General features: G+C 35.7%; 2 long non-coding RNA genes across 2 annotated transcripts in view; one reads left to right on the top strand and one right to left on the bottom strand.

Annotated features, from left to right (window-relative positions):
- Positions 1-9,194, bottom strand: part of LINC01899 (long intergenic non-protein coding RNA 1899) — a 49,612-nt gene extending 40,418 nt beyond the window's left edge. The window contains exon 1 of the long non-coding RNA NR_126324.1: positions 9,158-9,194. This is a non-coding gene — a long non-coding RNA (long intergenic non-protein coding RNA 1899). The remainder of the gene's footprint in view (positions 1-9,157) is intronic.
- LOC105376873 (uncharacterized) lies at positions 4,887-26,737 on the top strand. The gene is made up of 3 exons (XR_935614.2): positions 4,887-4,983; positions 25,501-25,613; positions 26,583-26,737. It is a non-coding gene; the product is annotated as an uncharacterized LOC105376873 (long non-coding RNA).
- Positions 26,738-27,842: the final 1,105 nt, after the last annotated feature.

Consider the following 27,842-nt stretch of genomic DNA (forward strand, 5'->3'; position numbering starts at 1 on the left):
AGGAAAATAAATCTTGGGACCCTGAACTCACTAAGCTGTTGGAAAAAGTCAACCTGGGAACTTGGTCACACAAACCTGCCTCCCATTTGATTCCTAAATAAGATGACTACAGAGATAAAAAAAAAAAACTACACACCTCCCTTACAACTTGCTGACATGGAAATTCCCTGTGGTTCCAAGATCTTCACCCTAAAACAGTTGTGTTGAATTTCACCCTGGCAATGTAAACTGATAGAGTATCTTCATAGGTACAGGACAAAGGACAGAACTCAAAGTCACTTCTCTGCTCACCCGAGACAAATGCATATCTGATTGCTTCCTCTGCCCTATTGTCTACATTATGTTATGTAAAAATGCAGATTCACTGAGCCAGGGCATGGCATAAGTGAGTATTCCTCAACATGCCCTCACATGTAAATTGTGTATTCAGTGAAAGGCTCATCAAAGACTCAAAAGATGTAACTGTTTGCCTCTTATCTATCACACCTTTTAATTTTTTTCCCCTCTTTCCTCAATGTCTGCCCTTTTCTGTTTTTATTTTTATACACATTTTTTGAGATGGAATCTCACTCTGTTGCCCAGGCTGGAGTGCAGTGCCACAATCTCGACTAACTGCAACATCTGCCTCCCGGGTTCAAGCGATTTCCAGCTAATTTTTGTGTTTTTTATAGAGACGGGGTTTCACCCTGTTTGCCAGGCTGGTCTCGAACTCCTGACCTCAAGCGATCCACTGGTCTCAGCCTCCCTAAATGCTAGGATTACAGGCGTGAGCCACTGCGCCCAGCCTTGCCCTTTCCTCTTTAAATATTAAAGCCTTCAAAGTCATCTTTGGAGAAAGACATAGATTTGTCTCCCTGTGCTCATCTTTAACTTTGCCAAATAAACCTCATAAAATGATTCAGACTTGCCTCAGTCATTTTCATGGATTTACACATGTATAATGTGCAGATTGGGGTTCAAATTCCCCCAAGACCCAAATATTGAACATTGTAACCAATAGATGATATCTGAACCCTAATTACCCCGCCCTCCCCCATTTTAGTTTCCAGTGTCTATTATCTCCATCTTTGTGTTCATGGGTATCCACTGTTTAGCTGCCACCTATAAGTGAGAATATGCAATATTTGATTTTCTGCTTCTGAGTTAGTTCTCTTAGGACAATGGCCTATAGCTCCATCCATATTGCTGCAAAGGACATAATTTCATTTTTAAATGCTGCATAGTATTCCATGGTGTATATATACACCATATTTTCTTTATCCAGTCAACTATTGGTGGACACTGTTTAGTCCATGACTTTGCTATTGTGGACAGTGCTATGATAAACATGCAAGCGCAGGTGTTTATCAATTCTAAATCAAAATGGAGCTCTTGCACCCACACTCAGCCCTTTAAAAAATTCTATAAACACTGTTTTTAAAATACATCCTAAACAAAATATCTTCTCACTACCCCCATCATCACTTCCCTAATCCACCCTACCGTCTTCTGGTGTCTGCACCTCAGTAAGAGTTGGTCCCTCACAGCTTCATACATAGAATAACACTTCCTCGAGGTAAGTTGTGTCCTATTTGCTGGGTGGGATTCTCTCATCATGGTCCTATGTCCATTCAGGAAAGTGTCCAGAACCATTGTAAGCAGATCGTGCGCCAGGTAGCTGGAAGGGGGAGCAGGTATGGAGACAGTTTTCCCCAAGGTCTCTTCTACTTTACTTCTTGATTGTCTACCCTCTATTTAGCTATGTTCCTCCTTTCTACCATGCCAATTTCATCGTGTTTCCAAAGACCAAAATTACCTCCAAAAGATTAAAGTTCACATTGTCATCATAGTAGCCATTTATTTGAACCTTTGTTTTGGTTAACATGCAAGTACACATACTAGATGACACGACGCACAAGTTACAATAATGAGAAAAGGAGTGAAAAAATACCGATCAATACTTTGGGATCTAAATCATCGATCATTTCTGGATTTGCAAAAGCCTCTTACCTGCCATTATTATATCTATACAATTTCACACAGTGATCTCTTTAAGGTTTTATTAAAATTACTCATTTCATGCCGCTCTTTTTCTGTAAACTCTTCTTTAAAACTTTAAACTTTCCTCATGACTTCTTATTTGGCCAGAGTAAAATTACATTTTTTTAGCTCAAGATGCCTCATAATCTGATCGTGTCTCTACTACTCTGACTTTGTCACTTGTCATTTTGTTCATCTCTCTATGACTTCTTCATCCTTTAAAGCCAAACACATCCCTATTGATAATCTTTGCACTTGTTCTTCCCTGTGCTTGAAACACATTTTCTTTACGTGGGCACATGGCTTGTTTCTTCATTTTCTCAGGACTATATTCAAAGCCACCATTGTACAGAGGTACTCCCCATGTATTCCCACTAAAATAAAAAGGAACTTTAGTCTCTAATTAAAAATATCTCTATAGTTTTATTCATAGCACTTACTATAATTTCATTTCTTTGAGCATTTTTAAGGTTTATTATTCAAAGATTCTGTTATTCCATAGCTGTATGAAACCAGATGATTTAATTAAGATTTATGTGCCTCAGTTTCCAAATCTGTATAATGGAAGTTATAATATTTCACCTTCATAGGGTTATTATAAAGATTACATGAATTTTAGTAGTGTAAACAAAATCAGAACAATATCAGGCACATTGTAAATCCTCAGTAAATATTAGCTCACCTTGTCGCATATTTGTTACTCTCTTCTATTCCTCATGAGAATCTAAGTTCCCTTCAGGTAAGAACTAACTGTGTTTTGCTCACTGCTTGTTACATTAAATTTGGCAGTGATAAGTAGCAGCAGGCATTTCTTCTATGAACTCAGAATAGCCAGGGGAAGAAATCCCTATTGTGAAGGGATAAATTATCATCAAACTGTTCACTCTTAACAGAAAGCAGAGAAGAGAATAAATTCACCGCCAGGACTAGTTAAACTTCTCTCCATGTGTGCTCTGTCATTTATGTGAAATGATCATTATTTGCTTGTGTAAACGTGCAGCATAATACTGGTGCTCTTTCACTTTCTAGTTTTAAATGTCAGTTTTCAGAGAGTCTTTTGGAGAAACATGATTGAGATCTGTGGAATCCATCTAGCTTCTGTAATTCTGGCCTAAAAGCTTGCTTCGCCTGGATTAGTGATGAGCCCCAAAGTTAGAATCTTAAACATTGCCTACATGTGGCACAGTGAGGTGAGGTCATGCAGATTAACGACAACAAAAAAAGTAATTTTATAATTATAAACTCCCAATTATTGCTTGTAATTAAGCCTACTATGTAACTTTAAGCGCTCATGATTAAGAGCAGCCTGTTCACAGGGTGACAGACCCTTCGTAGCAGGAGGATGTTCAGTCCATGACCACAGAGCTAAGAGGACTGAGCTGTGCTTTTCAGATTCAGGCTGGGAGTATAAACAGAAGACACAAAGAGTTTATTGAAATGGCTATAAAATATGAACAATCATAAATTTGTTTCCAGTATGGGCTAAATTCATATGTAAAATAAATACATATAGTGTCTATTTTGTAAATGTAATCTCTCTCTGTTTTATCAATTTTAAGTATAAAATTGATAAAATTGACCTCTGAGTCATAGCTCTTTCAAGTTGTTTTTGTTTGTTTGTTTGTTTTTGAAACGGAGTCTCTCGCTCTGTCGCCCAGGCTGGAGTGCAGTGGCGTGATCTCGGCTCACTGCAAGCTCCGCCTCCTGGGTTCACACCATTCTCCTGCCTCAGCCTCCCCAGTAGCTGGGACTACAGGAGCCCGCCACTACGCCCGGCTAATTTTTTGTATTTTTAGTAGAGACGGGGTTTCACCGTTTTAGCCGGGATGGTCTCGATCTCCTGACCTCGTGATCCGCCCACCTCGGCCTCCCAAAGTGCTGAGATTACAGGCGTGATCAAGTTTCAATGGTTCTACAGAGAAGGTGCAATGCAACAATGTTCTATCCTGCATAATCCATAAGTTAAAATGAGAACATTATATTCTCATATTTTTTACAGTAGCAAACAAAGATGAGTAGAAAATTTTAATCTCCATTTTAAGACGCAAACCTTATTTGAGATTTGTTAAGAAAACCATTTTGATGTGAGATACATTTGTTTTGAATAAATATTATTCATCTGTCCTATGTCATGATCAATTTGTGAGATAATATATTTGAAGAGCCTATATAATATTTTGTTTTCGGAGTTAAATTTCTTTTATGTCACCAGATTGTTTATTCCCGAAAAACCACAATTGTTTCTATTTCTATTAGTAATTCTCTGATTTCTGTAGATGAACTTAACTTGCACTCAGTTTTCTCATCTATAAGATGAAGACAGTAATATTAACTTTGATGATAAATTAATATAATATTTGACAACTTTGATGAAAATTAATTTTAAGCATCCATAATATTGGTTTTCATGGAGAACATTTCTCAACATCTCATTTGTACAAAAAATTTTTTGTAAAATTTTGAAGGATACTTAATACCTGTGGCATGCTAAATACATCTTCAAAACAGTACATGTGTATAATTTATGCTAAGCTTTGTGTTGAATTCTGGAAACACAATGAAAAATATGACAAAACTCCTGCTCTCAAAGTGTCTCACTTCTAGTTGGCAGGAAGAAATTTGGCAGTAAGTATACCAGGTGGTAAGTATTGTATCTGATAAAGGTGAAGAACGGGATGTGTGGAGAGCCTAGCGCATGGTGCTATACTTGAGAAAACCCAAATGTTTCATTATGACATAATAATGACATCAGTAGATACATGGTGGTCATATTCTCATTCTGCCAAATCTTTGACTGTTTTGTTACTGTTGTTTTTTAAGGCAAACTCTTGCTCTGTCACCCAGGATAGAGTACACAGTGTCACGATCACAGCTCACTGCAGCCTCAAGTTCCTAGGCTCAAGCAATCCTCCCACCTCAGCCTTCTGAGTAGCTAGGACCAGAGGCTCATGCCACTATACCCAGGTAATTTATTATTGGTATTATTTGTAGGGATGGGGTCACTCCCTATGTTGCCTAGGTTGGCCTTCAACTCCTGGACTCAGGCAATCCTCCTACCTCCACCTGCCAAAGTGCTGGTATTACAGCCGTGAGCCACTGCACCCAGCCAAAGCCTCCACTTTAAAAAATTGGTTGAATTTATGCAATTCTTAGATTCATTTTAAAAGTCATATTTGAAAACAAATAGAGAGCTATTTTTACCTTAAACTAAAGCCTGTTGGACCAACATAACACAGGTTTTGCTGCATATTACAGGTAGTATTTTCATTCTCCTACATTTGTCCCTCACCAGGCTAGTAGACAGGGGTATAGAATACAATCAAATAATTTCTAATATGGTGGAATCTCTTGGGAAGTATTGTACTGGTACTCAGCAAAATCATTAGCCCTCTCATGCATTATTTAATTTCCTTTCAAAGAAAAGGTGTTCCTTTTTTTATGCCCTCCTCCATCCACTACAGGTAAAAGTTCTACAATGTCCTCATAATGTTTATTTAGCCTGTAGAAGATCTGAAGCAGGTTGACACGACACACTCTTTGAATTATGATGAGGAAGAAATTAGTGAGCAAAGGTCTTCTGGCATCCATATTGAGAACTGATCAAGTGTACTCCATTTCACACCCCACTGAATAAAATCAGTGGATTATTTTTTGCACTTACCTGTTATTCTAAGTCTAAAAATGTATCATTTAGGGAAGTGGACCTGTAGTAATTTGTAGTCTAAATAAATTAGAACACTTTATGTTGACTTCATCGATTTCTGTTTTAATAAGATACTATCATGAAAATGGAGAATTGTGTTGATGATTATGAGTAAGCAATGATTAAATATTTGAGACTACATTATATTTGCCTGCGTTTGTATCACTCACCCATTTTTTTTTGCTTTGAATTACTCTGCAACAAAAATTGTTACCTCAGAAAGCAAATACTTTGAAACATTGTTCATATAATAAAAATAATGTTATTATAATATAATTAAACATCCCATATTTTCTCAATTATAGCACAATGTTTCTCCCTGTGTGAGGCGCTTCCTGCTTACCATCCAGTGTATTTACTGCCAACTTTCTTCCTCCCAACTAGAAGTGAGATGCTTTGAGAGCAGGAGTCTTGCCATATGTATCGTTTTGTCTTCAGAATTCAACATAAAGTTTAGCGTAAATTGTACACACAATACATGTTTCTTGGGCTTGGATTTTAAACTGAATGTAAAGGAAATATATCATAGAAGTCAAATTATGTGAAACTGACATTGTTGGTGTTGACTACACTGTTAATGTATTAGTCATATTTATATTTAACATTTTGTAACATCACACATAGAAGGAAGTTTTATTATAAATAAAATATAATTCAAACGAAAGCCTTATTACAGAGATAAAACAAAAGAAATTCCAACTCCCAAGAACAAGTTGCTTTCTAGGAGCTGATAAAGAACTGCTCACACTTTTGGATTGTTTCCTTCTTTTTTTCTGTCTAACGTATTAAAAGCCACACTCATTCCAATCTCAATTGTTTATTTAATTGGCAGATTTCATAGGAAAGTTGCCCAAGTCTCCATAAACTTTCCATTCTACCTTGCAAATGAAGACAGTAGGATTTTGCAAAATGTCAAACCAAGAAAATGCAACAGAGCTAACAGTTCTTAGAACAATGTTACAGAATATCCAATTATTCTTCTCACAATTCTCTTCCTGGAAAATGTCAATCAAAGTCCACATTTTGACTGCAGCAGCAATAAAAACCTATTGCGATGGCAATTTTTAAAAATGTCAGCAATCATTTTTAAATACATATCAATATTTTATAATGCCCATTTTATAATCATCTAATAAAATAGTAAGCAATATCAATACATCTGTGATCTTTCTGTAGTACAAATTTAAAGTTAATAAAAATAGAAACTTTCAGCTGGACCATATCTAAGTTTTCATTTATAGGAAAAACAGAGTGGATCTGTGAAGAGCCGGAGGGAAGTGACTGTCAGGTTTCCAGAAATCTATTTTTAATCAATCATCTGTATAAATTCACGTAGAAAAATTACTTAAAAGAATGTTTAATTGAAATCTTTACTGTGACTCTATAATATCAAGTTGTCTGAACATGAAAAGGTAGTGATCAAGCTATGAATTCATTATTAAGATCTAACATGTAGATAGAAACAAATATTTTATTTGGTACAATTTTTAATACTCAGACTCACACTCTTGTATTGTCTTTTTAATTGGATAGGGCAAAATTATCTTATCAGAACTAACAACTTTCATTTGATAGGGCAACTATTTTTAAGGATTTTGATTACCAGGAGGGTTTGATCCATGTCTTATATTGTTTCTTACATATTTGTGCTAGGTATAATATCAAATGTAACATAGAGTGGTTGTTCGGGATGTGGTCAATGCACAGGATTAAAATTTTTAAAAAGGTCAATGTAATTATTTGCTGAGGTAAAGAACTCCAGACAGTTCTGACATACACTGGCTTATGATCAGGGTTGAATTTTGTGTTCACTAAATGTGGTTTACAGTATAGTCCAGAATATTTTTACCTACGTATCTGAGATAGAAGTATATATTTTCAATTAATGTTTATGAATCATATTTTAGTGAAAACACAGTTTTTTACCGACTCGTGCTAAAAGCATTTATAGAAGATTGCACTTCATGTCCACTTACAAAAATGAACACCACTTTTATTTATATATTTTTGTTTATGTAAAGCTCCAAAGATAAATGTTAAGGCTAACGCATTTTAAGTTTGCCTGTTAACAACTGCATTAATAAATACATTTTTCTCGCTGGTAAACAGGTCAAGGGAACCCAGCTTGTCATTTGGGAACTGAAACTTGTAGCCGTAAGCACCCCTCATTGGGTATATTACCATACCTCAGGCAAAATATGAAAACCAAGTTTTCAGTTCACTGTAAAAGAACTAATGGGTAGTAGATTTATAAATGGGTCAAAAAATAATGTTTAAAATTATAACTACCTGTATTGATAACAAACTCAAATGAAAAAAAGTACAACATATAACGACAACATAAATACTATCTCCAAAACTATTTCCAATAATCATTACATTCTTAAAATCAAAACTTGTTATTTAAAAAACATATATTTTCCATATTGTTAATGCAAACATATCAAGTATATATCCGTGAATATTAAAATTACTTTTCTTCTGACATAAAACAAGATTCCTTTAAGTGTTAATAAAACAAAAAAATTATTTACCTTTTCCTTGATTCCAAATCCTAAGCATAGCATTTAATTATTAAGTTTATTCAGTAATCTCTGTGGCATTTTTAAACCAAATATTACAATCAGTGTTTGATGGTACATATATCTGGAATTTCATAACATCCCTTACTAAAGAGAGCATATAAATTTAATATAAATCATAATAAATGTATGTGATAATAAAATTATCTCCATACTATATAAAAGTATTAATTAAATTAAGCAATAATACCCAGGGTAATATTTAGGGAAATATTTTTCTGAGGGATTTTGTTTATCATATATAATTAAAATAAGATGATTCATAATCCATTTTTATACTTTAATCAAATAAGTTTATTTCCTTATTAAATCAATATTATATTTTAATCACGCACAGAGAGAAATAAAGATTTAACCCTTCAATGTCATTGTGGTAATGAAAGCCATTCTTACTGTAATTTCTAGGCAGATTTTATAGCAATGCAGAACTTAAAGAAGAACTGCATATTCTTAAAGTACTTTAACCCAGGATTTATGCATATGGAGCATTTACGTTTCATAGAATTTACTCCAAGAAAAGGTGATATGATTTTATTTAGTTTCCACAATGCTGTTGTAACTTATTGTAAGCCAATTAACATTTACTGAGAACTTACATTTGATAGAAATGCGTCCAGTCCTTTCTTATACAAGCAGAATGATATTCTCTCTTCTGACCCTCAACAGTCAGATGGAGAGATGTGAAAAATCATTAAATATTTTATTTAAAAACTCATGATACAATTTATTCTAATAGAATTTCATTTAACGTGAATAAAAAGCATAGTGTAAGAAACTGCTTCTTGAAAACAGGAAAGCCTTTGCACATTCGTCTGTCATCTCGCCCCAGAAAAGTTAATTTTATTTTCCTTACTTAAAATATTATCTGGCATCCTGATGATGAAGGAGTCTCAGAAATGTAGTTTCCCAGCCTCCATTCCTTGTAATTTGGGGGAAGAACTGTAAGAATTACAAAGGATGACAAGCGTTAATGCAGACACATTTCAACATGGAACACATACTACACAAATACCAAAATCACTGGATGGAAGCCCACGTCGTAGCACTTAGTGGCTTCGCTCAGTATTTTTTTAATCTACCCAGTCCTGCAGAGTAGATACTATCCTTTTTGAAGGTAAAGCAGTTTAAGAGACTTAACTGAGTATACTGGGCTCAATCTAGCTTTCAAATAGAATCTATTAAACACATGATATTTCTCCCTGTATATAGCTATTGATGACTTATTTGGACTTCATGTATTCATCTCAATATTGAATTACTAGCAATTTTCTCTCACATCTCCATTCTAGCATTTACATAAATCATAATATTTATGATTCCTTCACATCTTCAGAGGAGCAATTTTGTTATCACCCACTATGGTACTAATATTTGAATATTTCAAAAATATGAAATCTAAACATGTTTGTTTTAAATCAAGTTACTATTAATAGGAAACATTTGACTCAATTTTGTTAATGCTTATTAATTTCTCAGTTACCTTCCAATAGTTCATACATAGAAATTAAATTAGGAATGACTCTCTTAAATATAAAACATTTTATATAAATATATTTAAGAATCTGTTTTTAATTATTTGCCATTTTATACATGAGTATAGTAGAGATATTGTGCTTATAATAAATATGGAAAATTTAGAAAAATAAATGAAGCCAAAACATTAAATGTATATTCATGTAACAGAACCATTGTGCCTATTGTTAACTGGTTTTAAGAAGACTAAGCCAATTATTGTAATAAACATCAACATTCTAGTAATAAAATAAGCTTCTTGATGTTACCTTTGCTTCCAATTTTATTTTAAGTATAGGAATTCACGAAGATGCTATACAGGTGGATTTCAATGAATTTTTCTCAATGCAAACAAAGGTAAAATATGACATTTGAAACTTGTCCTCTGTCATTTTCCCAGCTGCTTACATAGTAGAGAATCTGCTCAAAGTCTCCATGGATCATTGTTGATGTCACAGGTGACTGCAGAAGACTTAGTTCACATTATAAACACTATTACCTTCACAGATAATTCAGTATCAGAGAAGGTCTTTTAGCAAAGCTTTCTGTTTAGTAATTTTTCTTTTTTTTTTTTTTTTGACACAGTCTTACTTTGTTCCCGAGGCTGCAGTGCATTGGCGCAAAGTCAGCTCACTGCAACCTCTGGCCCACTAGGTTCAAGCGATTCTCCTGCCTCAGCCTCCTGAAAACTGGGGCTACAGGCACACATCACTACACCTGGCCAGTTTTTATATTTTTAGTAGAAACGAGGTTTGGCCATGTTGGCCAGGCTGGTCTCAAACTCCTGACCTCAGGTGATTCACCCGCTTCAGCCTCCCAAGTAAAATTTATTTTTTTAATAAAAAAATTGAATGGCCCTTATATATGGCATTTGTTAAAATAAGTTTACTTACAGTGTTTTATCATTCCCATTGGTTTTAAACAATCTTTGCCTTTTTGTTTTCAAATAAAAGTGTGTACAATTGTGTTAGTCCATCTTTGCATTGCTATAAAGAAATACCTGAGACTGGGTAATTTATAAAGAAAAGAGTTTTAATTAGCTCATGGTTCTGTAGCCTGTACAGGATGCATGGTGACAGCATTAGCTCACCTTTTCAAAGAACTCAATTATACTTAGACTTGAAATTATATACCTATATTTCTAAAATTATACTTTTCTCAGGTTGGAACCACTTGTATTTTGTATTTTAACTTTACAGACTGTCATTTACAGTTTGCTAACTAAAGAGTAACTTGGACTAAATATTCAAAATGCTCAAAGTCTAGATTATAAAGTGCCAACTCATTTAGATCTAGTTTCAAAAACATTGCTTATTTTGTTTCTTTCATGAAATACCCCGTATGAATATGGATAACACACATACACACACACAATGCACTTGTTTTTGTGCATATATGTAATTGTAACAATAATGTCATCTTTTTTTTTTTTTTTTTTTTTTTTTTTGAGAAGGAGTCTGGCTCTGTCGCTCAGGCTGGAGTGCAGTGGCGCGATCTCGGCTCACTGCAAGCTCCGCCTCCCGGGTTCACGCCATTCTCCTGCCTCATCCTCTCAAGTATCTGGGACTACAGGCGCCCGCCACCACACCCGGCTAATTTTTTGTATTTTTAGTAGAGACGGGGTTTCACCGTGTTAGCCAGGATGGTCTCCATCTCCTGACCTCGTGATCCGCCTGCCTCGGCCTCCCAAAGTGCTGGGATCACAGGCGTGAGCCACCGCGGCCTGCCAATTTCATCTTAAGCAGTTTATTTGCTGCTGTTTTATGTGAGAACTTGGAACTGATGCAGGTAGGAAGGTCCTTCTCTTCACCCAGGAAAGAATTCAAGGGCCAGCTGACGTGACAGAAAGCAACTTCTATTGAATCAGTACTGCTCCTTGAGGAGCAGGGCTAACCCACAGGCAGTGTGGCCAGAGTCAGCAGTCTATGGGGTTGTTGGCAGCTGTATTTATATCTGCTTTTAATTATATGCTCATTGAGAGGCATTATTCAGAACTTTCTGGAAAAGGGGCGGGAAATTCCATAACCATATAAGATAACTTCTGTGCAGTATAAGGCAAGTGGCCACGGCACTGTACCTTTATTCTAATGAGCAGTGAGGGCAAATTGAGGTTGCTTTTGTCACCACCTACTGGTGTGGTTTCTTCACTGCATCCTATTTCCACCAGCTCCTGCTTCAATCATGGAGACAGAACCGGAAAACAAGTCCTGCTGGCCTCCTCCCTCGGAATTATTTAAAACTAATCATTAAAATATTAATTAACCTCAAGTTTTAGTTGCTACTTTTAATTTCTTGAGGATATTATTTTAGAATAGAATGTTTCATGTGGAAGAATTTAGGAAAGAACATTCTTTTCTATACTAAGTAAGCCTATATTTATTTGTGGCTCTCCAAGCACTGAGTAATCTGATTTTCAAAATGTTGAGCTCTTAAATCATGAAAATAGACAAGCAGATGTTTTATATTTTAGGTGTGTATCCAAAGTTGGGGTCATGCATTGTACCTGTAGGTAGACTGAAGCAGGAACTGTTTGACAAAGTTTGTGCATTTCTAGCTGTCACTATCAGACACAGCTTTTTAAAAACAGGACTAAATAATTATTTTCTAACATAAGATAACTTGTTGCACACAGTAAAAATCTGATTTAGTCATTTTAAAAGGGCTACGAGTGTCTTTGACTGAATATCTAATTTTTTTCCACGTTAGACTTAGTTTTCCTAATAAGAATAGAAAAAAAAATCATTATTCAATAAATTACTCATTGAAGAAATTGGTTAATGGCCATCTCCTAAGAACTATGCTAGAGGTCAGGTGTCTAAAAACAAATATGATCTATTATGTACCCTGAGGAATGTTAATATCTAGTTACAGTGAGTAGAGTCAATAGAATGATAAATGGGACAAATACAACCATTCGCTGTTAGGTCAATTAATTTTCTTATTGTGTTAGGTTATTTGAAAAAAAAAAGAAATTATTTATCCCCTCCTGATAGCCAAGCTTCTTTGCTTGGTAACTTTTCAGCTCCTTCTATCAACAGTTGGAGTGTGTTTCTTCCCAACCTCAATTGTGGTTGTCCTGTAACTCATTTAACTGATACTATGCAGAAGAAATGAATGCTGAACCAGTTCTGAATGTAGGCCTTAATAATCACTCACATGCTTACAGAATGCAAGGTCTGGGTGACTTCCTAGCTGTCACAGTACATTTTAGTAGAAATAAAAAGTATAAAAATTCTCTGAATTGTTGGTTGCTTCAAAGAGTAGTGTAGAATTTGGTAAAAAGGAAATAAGGAACTCAGGAATTTAAATTTAAATTCGAATTTAAATTTGAAAGGAACGTCTGGGTAAGATACTATGAAACTTTTTAAATAGCTCCAAAATAAATATTACATCCTGTTGTCACAGAATCATTCTGAAAAACAAAACCCAGTCTAATTCTGTGGGTTGCTGAATTTACATTCCAATTTAATGCACAGTACTGGGTATTTAATGCACATAGTTTCTTATGTGAAGTTATGACACTGATCTGAAAACTGGGATCAGGTCATCTGAGCAGACTTCAATGAAGCTAAGACCCTGAACACTCTACCACACCTCTTTGCCCTCAACAATAGCCTTTCTTCCCCTGTTAAATATACTGCCCTTCTTTCTTGACAAACCTGCAATGATTTCTCTTGAGGTGTTTATTTTGCAGGTGGCTGCTGATTCTCCACAATATCACAATGAACTCTCATTTATCAACCTATTACTCTCTGCAACTTCTTGGTACCAAATATAACTAACGAGAAGGGAGAAAACACATCAAAACAATTAAAATTTACCAATGTGTATTCATTGAGACCTGGAAATATGTAGGGAATTGGATCTTACAGATGTTATATAAGGATGGAAGTGATATAATATTGGATCACATATATGTATCAATTGAGTTAGGATTTAATGTCTTAGCTTGAGAGGATGGAAGCTGCTTTACCATTGTCCTCAACTGGTTTACATAAATATGTACTCTAAGGTGTTCTACTTAGCAGGAAGTTGAGATGATAAGTATTCTTCCCTGGTAGAGGAAGATGTTGAAAACTTTAAGGATATTGAATATAGAAGAAAATTTATTACATAAGATCTGCTCACTCACCCACCATCTACTCTGGAAATGTCCAGGAGAGATTCTTTTCATCAAGGCTTTGGGAGATATGTTGAGGAAGACAATGCTGATGTCCTTAAAGTGATCTGTGCAGATAATTCACTGTAAGGCTAGAGGTAACACTAAAATGCTGCCATAAAAACAGAGCTTTCGGAGTTTAATGTGGATATTGGGATGTGTAGCAGAGGTCAAGTGGCAGGATATATCTGATCTGCCAAAGACATGGTAGTCGTAGTAACCATAATGGGAATGAGTCCCAAGTCAATAATCAGAATGAGCTGACATGCATAAATCTTTAACACTGGCTCATTGAGCATGGTATTCAAGTTGTCATTTAAGCTGAGTTTTATATCACGAATTTGATGTAATCTGATCTACTGAGTCATAAAATTGGATGTGGAGAATAGCTCTTCATGCTCAAGTAAAATGGTATATACAATAATGGACTAAAGCAGTTTCTAAAGGTACAAGCAATTTGCACATGAAAGTAGTTCAAAATCACAAGATGTTGCATCTCAGTCATATTGTCCTTTTTTTATAATACACACGTACATCTTGCCTCAAAGAAAGTTTTCAATCAGCAGCTCATTAAAGAAGAAAATATTCAGATCTGGATTTGAAATATTTCTCCACTATCATATACCCCAAAGTGGACATCTTCAACATTATAATTCAGATAACAGTAGCCCTGAATGATGGTGCTGAAGGGAAATCATCCCAATGGTCAGAACGTCTAGCAGTGGACCTGTTTTTTTTTTTTTCCTGCAAAACAAGATGTATAGAAAATAGATCTATATTGATTTTGGCCAATGAAAAATTGTTTGGCTGGGTGGTCAGAGATTTAGAAAAAATACAATTGAAAAATTAGTGATAAGAAGATCTGGTGAAGAAGTGTCATGTATTAACCTCTGAATGAATATAGAGTAAATATAGGTCTATGACTTGTGAAAATGCTCATTCAGTAGTAATTTCAATTGTAGTTAATAATTACATTGTAGATTAGTTTGGGGGATGTTATTAAGCCTACTTCCCTAACCAGCCCATTCTTGCCGTATGAAAAATACGGCCATGTGGCACGGTTAGAAGTTGTGCATGGGTTCAACAATGTGGATGTTCACTCACCAGAGGTGACCTGGTGTCAGGCATTACTGAGTGTACCACGTACTACAAGCATGAAGGAACACTGAGATTCTAATATGGCACTACTCAGGAAAACCAGCCAGTCACCATGGTAGCACCCATTTCATTCCATTGTGATACAATACTTTGTATAATTTAAACTTCCTAAGAATTGATTAAGATTTCTGTTGTGTCTCCATACATGGAGGGTTCTGTATATGTCTGAAGTCCAATTGATATATGTTTTTGTGCAAGTTTTCTATGTATTTATTAATCTTATGTCTGATTTCTTTATTCTTAATGGAAAGTAGGGTTTTTGAAGTCTTCAGCTATTAGTTTAGAGCTACTATCCCTTAAATTCTGTCACTGTTTGCATCATGAAGTTACTAGGAAGTTCATTCATATTATAAATGAAATATAAGTACACTTTAAAAATGTATTTAAAGTGTATTTTTACAAACTTTAAAATTTAAATTTAAATTGTAAAAATACAATTTAAATGTGCATTCTCTTTTTATTACTACTTGCATGAAATATCGTTTCCCATCCTTTCACTTTCAACTTATATGTGTCCTCATATCTAGAGTTATTCACTTATAAATAGCATACAGTTGGTTCCTGGTTTGCTTTGTTGTAATACTCGTTTTGCAAATCTATTTAAATTATTGGGAAGTTTAATCCATTTTCATTTAAATCAATTACTGATAGGAAAGAACTTACTTTTCTATTTTTCGATTGGTTTTCTGTATAAAGAAGCAACATTTTTAAGATGTTCATTCGTTCCAACTTGGTCTATAGTCTCAACTCTGCCAATTAAAATTTCAGTAGGTTGGCCAAGCATGGTGGCTTGCACCTGTAATCCCAGCACTTTGGGAGACTGATGCAGGCAGATCACCTGAGGTCAGGAATTCAAGACCAACCTGGCCAACATGGTGAAACCCTATCTCTACTAACAAATACAAAACTTAGCTGGGCGTGGTGGCAGGTGCCTGTAATCCCAGCTACTCAGGAGGCTGAGGCAGGGATAATTGTTTGAACCTGGGAGTCAGAGGCTGCAGTGAGCTGAGATCTCGCCATTGCACTCCAGCCTGGGCAATAGAGCAAGACTCCGTCTCAAAAAAACAAAACAAAACAGCAAGTTACATTCTGAATATCAATGGACAATGGACTGAGACTGTAACTTATAAGGAAATATGTAAGATCCAGAGTAGCCAGCAACGTACTGAAGAAGAACATATTCAGAAAGCTGATGGCTGACCAATTTCAAGAATCACCATAAAGCTACAATAATCAGGACAGGATGGTATTGGTGAAAAAACAGGCAAATGGATTAACAAAGCAGATTATAGAGCCAAAAAACAGACGTATAAAAATATGGCCAACAGGTTTTTTTTTCCTAAGAAGCAAAGATATTAAATGAAGAAAGTACAGTCTTTCTAACAAATGATGCCAGAACATGTAGGCGCACACACACACACACACACACACACACACAAAAGGTTCTAGACACCGACATTAGTATTTACACAAAAATTAACTCAAAGTAGATCACAGACATGAATATGAGAAGCCTAACTATATAATTTATAGAAAATAATCTAGGGAAAAATGTTTACAGATTTGAGATTGGTATTCTTAGTTGGCATTCTGGGAATGGGCCTTACACTATGTTGTGGAGGGTATTATTGTCAAAGCTGTTTCAAAACATTCCTTGAGTTCACACAATTATGTTTCAACAGGCACTGCACTTGGAACAGGACAAAATTATTTTTTCAATAGAATAAAATACATTCTTATATTCTTATTATTAGCTTGGTGCAAAAGTAATTGCAGTTTTTGCAATTACTTTTAATGGCAAAAATCACAATACTTTTGCACCAACCAAATATAACCTTCCTTACCAAGATACAACCTTTTTTGTACATATTGCGTATAGAATTGTGTCCCTTATTTTTAGCCGTTTTAATTACATAGGTTAATTATATGTTTAACTCTTAGTAATTCTAATTTCCCATAAAAAAGCCAGGAAATAATCCATTATAATTATGTACCAAAACATTTTATGAATACATATTTTGTAATTTCTAAAAACATAGATTTTTACAGAACTTTTAAAATGTTGAACAGGACATATTTACTAACAAACTCAAATTTTTTTTTGCTTTTCTGTAATAATAATCCAAAATACATATGTTTAAACCTATGTTAGTAATTAAAATTTAGCATTATATTTTATTTGGAAATGAGCTAGATATGCAGTGACTATCCATTATTTAATCTGGTTTAGCAAAACTCTAATGAAGTAATTACCAAAGATATTAGGAAATAATTTTAAGTAAACATATTGTAAAACATTATTATTAAAAAACTTATTTATAGATTTTACTCCACTTTATCTCATTTAATTTACTCATTTTTAACAATTATGTTGGGAAGATTTCATGAGAGATTAGATGAAGTTAATCCTCATAAACCAAAAAAATGCTTGATTTTAGTTACTGTAGTCAAAACGCTATCAATCCAGAACCCTCCCACTCCCACCCCACACTATCTTGGCTGCTATGTCAAGAGAAACAAAACTTCCTTTGGAGGAGGAGAGGCGCTCTGCTTTTTAGAGTTTCCAGTTTTTCTGCTCTGTTTTTTCCCCATCTTTGTGGTTTTATCTACTTTTGGTCTTTGATGATGGTGATGTACAGATGGGTTTTTGGTGTGGATGTCCTTTCTGTTTGTTAGTTTTCCTTCTAACAGACAGGACCCTCAGCTGCAGGTCTGTTGGAGTTTGCTAGAGGTCCACTCCAGACCCTGTTTGCCTGGGTACCAACATCAATAACAGGCTCTGAAATTGTGGCAATAATCAATAGCTTACCAACCAAAAAGAGTCCAGGACCAGATGGAGTCACAGCCGAATTCTACCAGAGGTACAAGGAGGAACTGGTACCATTCCTTCTGAAACTATTCCAATCAATAGAAAAAGAGGGAATCCTCCCTAACTCATTTTATGAGGCCAGCATCATCCTGATACCAAAGCCAGGCAGAGACACAACCAAAAAAGAGAATTTTAGACCAATATCCTTGATGAACATTGATGCAAAAATCCTCAATCAAATACTGGCAAACCGAATCCAGCAGCACATCAAAAAGCTTATCCACCACTGGGCTTCATCCCTGGGATGCAAGGCTGGTTCAATATATGCAAATCAATAAATGTAATCCAGCATATAAACAGAACGAAAGACAAAAACCACATGATTATCTCAATAGATGCAGAAAAGGCCTTTGACAAAATTCAACAACCCTTCATGCTAAAAACTCTCAATAAATTAGGTATTGATGGGATGTATCTCAAAATAATAAGAGCTATCTATGACAAACCCACAGCCAATATCATACTGAATGGGCAAAAACTGGAAGCATTCCCTTTGAAAACTGGCACAAGACAGCGATGCCCTCTTTCACCACTCCTATTCAACATAGTGTTGGAAGCTCTGGCCAGGACAATTAGGCAGGAGAAGGAAATAAAGGGTATTCAATTAGGAAAAGAGGAAGTCAAATTGTCCCTGTTTGCAGATGACATGACTGTATATCTAGAAAACCCCATTGTCTCAGCCCAAAAGCTCCTTAAGCTGATAAGCAACTTCAGCAAAGTCTCAGGATACAAAATCAATGTACAAAAATCACAAGCATTCTTATACATCAATAACAAACAAACAGAGAGCCAAATCAGGAGTGAACTCCCATTCACAATTGCTTCAAAGAGAATAAAATACCTAGGAATCCAACTTACGAGGGACGTGAAGGACCTCTTCAAGTAGAACTACAAACCACTGCTCAATGAAATAAAAGAGGATACAAACAAATGGAAAAACATTCCATGCTCATGGGTAGGAAGAATCAATATCATGAAAATGGCCATACTGCCCAAGGTAATTTATAGATTCAATGCCATCCCCATCAAGCTAACAATGACTTTCTTCACAGAATTGGAGAAAACTACTTTAAAGTTCATATGGAAGCAAAAAAGAGCCTGCATCGCCAACTCAATCCTAAGCCAAAAGAACAAAGCTGGAGGCATCACGCTACCTGACTTCAAACTATACTACAAGGCTACAGTAACCAAAGCAGCATGGTACTGGTACCAAAACAGAGATATAGATCAATGGAACAGAACAGAGCCCTCAGAAATAATGCCGCATATCTACAACTATCTGATCTTTGACAAACCTGAGAAAAACAAGCAATGGGGAAAGGATTCCCTATTTAATAAATGGTGCTGGGAAAACTGGCTAGCCATATGTAGAAAGCTGAAACTGGATCCCTTCCTTACACCTTATACAAAAATTAATTCAAGATGGATTAAAGACTTAAACATTAGACCTAAAACCATAAAAGCCCAAGAAGAAAACCTAGGCATTACCATTCAGGACATAGGCATGGGCAAGGACTACATGTCTAATACACAAAAAGCAATGGCAACAAAAGCCAAAATTGACAAATGGGATCTAATTAAACTAAAGAGCTTCTGCACAGCAAAAGAAACTACCATCAGAGTGAACAAGCAACCTACAAAATGGGAGAAAATTTTCGCAACCTACTCATCTGACAAAGGGCTAATATCCAGAATCTACAATGAACTCAAACAAATTTACAAGAAAAAAACAAACAACCCCATCAAAAAGTGGGCGAAGGACATGAACAGACACTTCTCAAAAGAAGACATTTATGCAGCCAAAAAACACATGAAAAAATGCTTACCATCACTGGCCATCAGAGAAATGCAAATCAAAACCACAATGAGATACCATCTCACACCAGTTAGAATGGCAATCATTAAAAAGCCAGGAAACAACAGGTGCTGGAGAGGATGTGGAGAAATAGGAACACTTTTACACTGTTGGTGGGACTGTAAACTAGTTCAACCATTGTGGAAGTCAGAGTGGCGATTCCTCAGGGATCTAGAACTAGAAATACCATTTGACCCAGCCATCCCATTACTTGGTATATACCCAAAGGACTATAACTCATGCTGCTGTAAAGACACATGCACACATATGTTTATTGCAGCACTATTCACAATAGCAAAGACTTGGAACCAAGCCAAATGTCCAACGATGATAGACTGGATTATGAAAATGTGGCACATATACACCATGGAATACTATACAGCCATAAAAAATGATGAGTTCACGTCCTTTGTAGGGACATGGATGAAATTGGAAATCATCATTCTCAGTAAAGTATCGCAAGAAAAAAAAACCGAACACCACATGTTCTCACTCATAGATGGGAATTGAACAATGAGAACACATGGACACAGGAAGGGGAACATCACACTCTGGGGACTGTTGTGGGGTGGGGGGAGGGGGGAGGGATAGCTTTAGGAGATATACCTAATGCTAAATTAGGAGTTAATGGGTGCAGCACACCAGCATGGCACATGTATACATATGTATCTAACCTGCACATTGTGCACATGTACCCTAAAACTTAAAGTATAATAATAATAAAATAAAAAATAAAATAAGAAAATTCTTAAGATTTAGGATTCCACTACTTGCAAGTAAAAAAAAAAAAAATAGAGAAACAAAACTTATAAGTTGTCCTGGAAATCACAAATTCTTCTTTTCTTTGTCTGCAAGTTTGGCTAAGTGACCAGCCAGTAGGGGTGAGAAATAATTTAGGAATGGCTTTTAAAAGTTTACTTTCCTGTTTAACCATTTTTATAACATAGTATACTAGGCAAATAAGTTAAACACATGAGTTAAATACAGAGTTTAATCACTGTGGCTGGGGTTTAGTTAAATGTAGGAGTCTCTGTAACCAGTTAACCAATTAAGCTGTAACCAACTAAGTTGTCTTAATACCTCACTTCTGTTTTCTATAAATGAGGTCAGATTAAGTTGTTAGCTGAAGTTATCTGAACTTGTTTTGGTTTTAAGAGCTGCCCGATTTGCATATCAGTTTTGTTTTGTTTCTGCTTTGTTTTCTTTGGCTTTTGCTTCATTTTTAATTTCTCAAATAAACTCTAATAAAATTAAAGAGTCAAAAGGATTTTTTCCTTTAAGCTTTATCTGTAAGCTATCTATCGTCCTATCTATTTATCTATTATCTATCTAGTTTTAATCAGGAAATTAATACCTAGTTTTACTATGTGATATCTCATGTCTACCCATTTAAATGGCTATATTGCCTATAGATGAATTAGAGATAGACATATTAACGGCTAAACTGTTAGGTAACTTAAAAGTATATATTGTAATCTGTCTCAAGATGACAGACACTTATTTCAATTCAATCCATACAGTTTCTTATAGTTCAAAATTCAAATTTCTACCAAGATTTTTCTCGGTTCAATGTCAATGATTTTTCCTCCACTACAATCTTGTAACATTTATAAACAGAATCTATCACATACGTCCCTTCATTTTGTGCCCCTAGTGTTTTTTGTATGTCCAGCTTACCCTTAACATAAAGCACGGAATAATTGAGAGGACAATGAATAATTTGTTCTCTAACAGTAAATAGATAAATGTGGTTGCTTGCTTAATAAATGCTGACTTGATTGAACTGACTTGTATTGAGTTGAATCTAATTGAATTGCCAGTGATAAAGATGTATATTTTTAAACTCGCATTGCTTAATAAGAGTAAGGGACTCATTCACAGTTTGCTAAATTAATGAGAAAAGAACAATTTATTTCCTCTTGTTTAAGCAATTTTTATTTTTAAAGCATGTTATGCATTATTTATTGTTCTAAGTACAGTGTTAAAGAGAAATGATCACCTGTTTAGAGACCTTCCAAAACACATCGGATTCAATAGGCTAAGTGAAAGGTGGTAATCACATGCAAGCAACCTATTTCCCTTTTTAACCTTTACATTTCCATTAGTTTTGAAGTTATTTTAATAGTGACAAGATTGGCTTAACTGGTATGTTACAGTATTTCTGAAAGATGGGAAATAATAACAGCAGAAATGATACAAAGTCAAGCTTGGAATAGAATAGTAAATAATGGTGCCTGCTATAATAATCACGAAAACAATGCAATGTATTCTATATTTATGTTATATCTTTCATCATATCAGTATTCATTTTTATCTATAAATATGACAATATACATGTGTACTGCCCTGGCCTGGTATAATATTTATCCTTACTTTGACTGAACCGCTTATTCAAAGAAGTCTATTTTTTGTTGCATTTGCATACAGCTGTGCATTTCCTTTTCTCTATTTACTATACATAGAGGATGTTGTTTCAAATTATTTCCATTGTTAAATAAGCTGTTAGTTTTAAATTTATTCTGAGGAATACAGAACATTAAATCAATTAGTTTATTAATTTTGCTAATCGACTTTTATTAAACCCTGTAATTTCAAAAAGCAAAACATTTTAGAATATTGTAGTCAAGCTTTGGGGCAATAAAATTATCTCCACAGTTTAGATGATGCATAATAAGATTAGTGAATAGCATTCATTTGTATAACAATTTCCTTAGGAATCCTTTATTGTTTCAGTGTAACTATACAAAACTTTTGTTATAATACATGACATGGATTAAATATTAGGAACACTGGGTATTACTTGGGTGTCTGTCACTATAGTTATGCAATTGTAAAAACTATGTGGTGATTATTTGGTGCCAAAGTTAAACTATCATTAGATAGTAAAGGAATTTTATACATGCATTCAAATTACACGCTGTTATGGACTGAGGGCATCTCCCCAAATTCAGGTGTGAAGCCTTAGGGCCAGCCTAACAGTATAAAGAGCTGGGATCTGTCTTTAATTGTCCCGAGGTGGAAACTGCATGAATGGGATTAGGACCCTTATAAAGTCTTCTGCTCTTCTATCACGTGAGGGCACAGCATTCCTCCCCCTTGCCCTTCCATTTTTTTCACCATGTGAGGACATAGCTTGTGTCTTTCACGGGGGCTGCTGAAACATAGCACCATCTTGGAAGCAGAGAGCCGCCCTCCCAGACACTGAACCTGCCAGCACCTTGGTTTTGGACTTCCTATGAAAAATAATTTTCTATTACTTATAAACTCCACAGTCTCAAGTATTTTTTTGTAGCAGAACAAATGGACTAATACAGAACATTGGTACCAAGAAGTCAGGTGTTGCTATAACAGATACCTAAAAATGTGTAAGCAGCTTTGGAATGTGGTAATGGGTAGAGGCAGGAACAATTTTGAAGTGTATGCTAGAAAGAGTCTAGATTGCCATAATGGATCATTAAGGGAGACAGACTCTGGTGAGGGCTCAGAATAGGAGAGCTATAGAGAGAGTCTCGGACTTCCTAGAGATTATCTAACATGCTCAGGATCAGAATGCTGGGAGAAATATGGACGGTACAGGTAATTCTGATGTGACCTCAGACTAAAATGAGGAATATCATATTGGAAACTAGAGGGAAGACCATCCTCATTACAAAGTGCCAAAAAACTTGGCTGAATTGTTTCCATGTCCAAGTACAGATACTCCCTGACTTACAATGGGGTTATGTCTCAAATATCCAATCATAAGTTAAATATATCATTAAGTTAAAAATGCATTTAATACACCTAAAGTAACAAACATCATAGCTTAGCCTCGCCAACTTTAAACACGATCAGTACACTTATATTTGCCAACAGTTGGGCAAAATCATCTAACACAAATCCTGTTTTATAATAAAGTATTGAATAGGTAATGTAATTTATTGAATAATATTCTAAAAGTGAAAAACAAAAAAAAACTTTATGGGCACTTGAAATACAGTTTCTATGGAATGAATATCACTTTTCTATCATTATAAAGTCAAAAAATCATGTAAGTCAAACCGTCTTAAGTTGGAGACTGCACTTTGTGGAGGGCAGAATTTAAGAGTGATAAACCAGGATATTTGGTGGAAGAAATCTCTAAGCAAAATATTTAGGGTGTTTCATAGTTTCTCTTGACTGCTTATAATAAAATGTGAGAGGAGAAACAAATTAAAGATGGAATTTATAATAAAAAAGAAGCAATACTTAAAGATTTGAATAATTCTTTACCATTGTGAAGAATAAAAGTGTGTCTCGAAGAGAATACCAAGGGTGTGGCCAAGCTAACATCTGGATTTGAAAATAACCTTAGAATGGAGACAAAGAAGCCAAATATTATTCATCAAGACAAAAGAAAAATGACCCCTAAAGCATTTCAGAGATCTTTGAGGCTCCCATTCCCATCAGAGTTCCAGGGTGCCAGGGCCATGAGCATAGAGGAGTTTCAAGGGAGGGTCCCAAGGTGCTTGTTGGACCTTGGGTCTCACTGCCCATGACCACCTCAAGTCTCTGCTTCCTGCATTTTAATTCACTAATCCTTGACCACAGCAGTTGTGGCTCAAGTGGGCCCAGGTGTGGCTTGAGCCACTGCTCTAGAGGGCATGAGTGGTAAACCTTGGCAGCTCCTGATGGTGCTAACTGCAGGGGATCAGAGTGCAGGAGCTGTGAAGACATGGCTGCCTCCACCTCCATGATAAAGGATACTTCAGAGTGCCTCGAAGCCCAGGTAGAGAACGGCCAGAGGTTTGGAGATACCACAGAGAACCCCCACTGGGGCAATACCTAGTATAGTAATGGGGTCAGGTTAACCACAGTGAGTCTTCAGTGGTGCAATGTCTGGCAGAGTCATGAGCACTGAGTCACTCCCGAGACCCCAGAACTATAGAGCCACGGACGTGCAACTCCAGCCTGAAAGCCACAGAAACTGGACCCCACACCGTGAAGACTGCAGTGTGGGCTACACCCGGCAAAGCCATAGGAGTAGGATTGCCTGGAGCCTGAGTGTCAAAATCTCCACCCCAGTGTTTCCAGAGATAGGATACTGTTCCCAGAAGATAGGAGTCAAATTAAATTATTCTCAAGCGTCAAGATTTAATGCTGTTTGCTTTGCTGGGTTTTGGAATTGCTAGGGACCTGTTGCTTCTTTCTTCTTGCCTATTTCTCCCATTTTGGAATGAAGATATCTATGCTACACCTGTTCCCTCATTATATTTTGGAAGCACATAACTCGTGTGATTTCATAGCCTCACGGCTGGAGAGAAATTTTTGTCTCACTCCGATCTAATTTAGATGAGACTCTTAGGCGTTTAGATGCTGGAGCAAGTTAAGATTTATGGGGCTATTGGGGTGGAATAAATATATTTTCCATGTGAGAAGGACATGAATTTTTGAGGCCAGGAAAGGAATGCTATGGGCTGAATGTGTTTTCCAAAATTTATAGTTAAAACGTAAGGGGCCAATGTAACACCTTAAGGGGTGATTAAGTCACAAGGGCCGGGCACTCATGGATGGGATTAGAATCCGAATAAAACGTTTTAAAGGAGTGAATTTGTTCTCCTTTGCTCTTCCACCATGTGAGGACACAATGTTCATCTCCTTTTCCCCTTCCATCCTTTCTCCTAGGCAAGGACACAACATTTATCCACTATGCAGGATGCAACAACAGGGCACCATCTTGGAAGCAGGGAGCAGCCCACACCAGACATCAGACCTTGGACTTTCCAGCCTCCACAACTGTGAGAAATAATTTTCTATTATTTACAAACTATCCAGTTTCATCCATTTTATTATAGCAGCATAAATGGATGTATGCATTATTATAATTATTTTTTAAAGGCTGGTATTTGAGAATGAACCTGCTATTTTAGCCCTTATTTTTAAATGGCTATTATTCATTATTAATTTTTAATTCAAATAAGCCACTTAAAAACATTGTATCAATTTCCTAGGGCTGCTGTAATAAAGGCCCACAAACCGGTTAGCCTGAAACAAAAGACATTTATTCTCTCACAATTCTGGAGGCTAAATGTATAAAATCAGTTTGTCAGCTAGGGCATGCTCCCTCCAAATCCTCTAGAGGAGAATCCTTCCAAACCTTTCCCATAGTTTCTTGTGTTGCCAGCAATCCTTGGAATACTTTGGCTTGTAGACACTTTCCTTTAAACACTGCCTTTCTCACCACATGGGTTCTCCCTGCACGTCTTCCTGTGTTTCAGCTCTTCTTTTTTAAGGACACAGTCCTATTGGATTAAAGACCTACTCTCCTACAGGATGACCTCACCCTAACTAGAAACATCTGCAGTGACCCTATTTCCAAATAATTTCACATTCTCAGGTTCCACGGTTAAGATTTCAACATACTTTGGATGCAGGGAGGAGCTCAACACCCGGCAAGCATATATTTTATTTATTTCAGCTTCATTGAAGTACAGTTGACCAAAAAAAGTATATATTCAAGGGGTACAATGTGGTAATTTGATATATGTATACAATGAGAAAATATTACCACGTGTATTACCTACCACACATAGTCATCATTTTGTGCATGTGTGTGTGGTGATGACACGATTCTGTCTCAGCAAATTTCAAATAAACAATACAGTATTACTAACTACAGTCACCATCCTATATTAGATCCTTAGAACTTACTCACCTTATAACTGAACGTTTATGTCCTTTAACCAACATGTCCCCATTTTCCCCAGCCTCCAACCCTTGGCAGCCACCATTCTACTCTCTGCTTCTACAAGTTCAACAACTTCAACAAGAAGTTCAACAACTTCTACAAGTTTCAGAATTTGCTACCTTCTAACCATGTGACTTTGGGAAATTATTTCATCCACCTATGTGTTCAGTAAGATTGAAATAATAATATAGTAACCCCTACAAATTTTGTTGAAATTATTAAGTAAATTAACAAATATAAAGTGCTCCGGAGGCTATTGGATCCTGATAAGTATCTCATAATTATAAATGATGATAATCATCATAATAGTGACCGTGAAGTAATACTTCCCCGGGTTGTGCTTGCAAAATACTTTTTCATATAGATTGGACTTCAAAATATTTTTGCAGGAGTAGAGGAAGATGTGAGATATCTAAATCCCTCTCTCAGCTTACATAAGCCTGTGTTACTGGTTATAGAAGGTGTACTTTTTTAATCCTTCAAAAGTTTTAGGCTCTGAAAGGTCACTTCTTTTGCTTGACAAATAATGTTTCTTGTCTGTACATTTTTCTGATTTTTATTATATTATAGGGTTTTTTTTAGAGACAGGGTCTTGGTCTGTCACCTGGCTAGAGTGCAGTGGTGCAATCATAGCTCACTGCAGCCGCGAACCTCTGGGCTCACCTGCCTCAGCCTCCCAAAGTGCTGGGACTAAAGGCGTGAGCTACCATACCTGTGCCTGGCCTGACTACACATTTTTTAAATGAAGTATTCTATCTTGTTCCTTGAAGATAGATGATGCTGGGTCTTCCAGGGATAGTCTGAATTACTGATGTTTATAGATTATCTTCCTAAGAATATTATATTTAAAGCATTACCATATTTGTTGATAGAAAAAAATTACTTTTAGAATAACTTTACTGACACTGAATTAATGGTTATTCAATAAATAAAGTAGCAGTTCTCATTTTGTACTTCTTCCAAAGTAATACATCTTAAAATCAAAATTCTCATGATTACAATGTAGATGAGAAAAAGGAGGTTAAAAATACATAATAAAGTTTTCAAATGCCAGCAACTCATTTTTAGATGAATTTGAGAAATATGTTACTTATGATGCTATTGAAGGCATTTAGTGTCTACAGCCTTTGTGCTTATTATTTTTATTATAAATAAATGTAAGCATATGTGTTCAAATATTTAGGAGGTTGCAACTATTTTCAAAGAAACTAAAGACAGTCATGGAAATCATTTTGAAACAGTAACATCAAACAATTTCTCTGAGTCGTCAACAAGAAAT

Source organism: Homo sapiens, chromosome 18, assembly GCF_000001405.40.
Source record: "Homo sapiens chromosome 18, GRCh38.p14 Primary Assembly".
Lineage (NCBI taxonomy): Eukaryota > Metazoa > Chordata > Mammalia > Primates > Hominidae > Homo > Homo sapiens.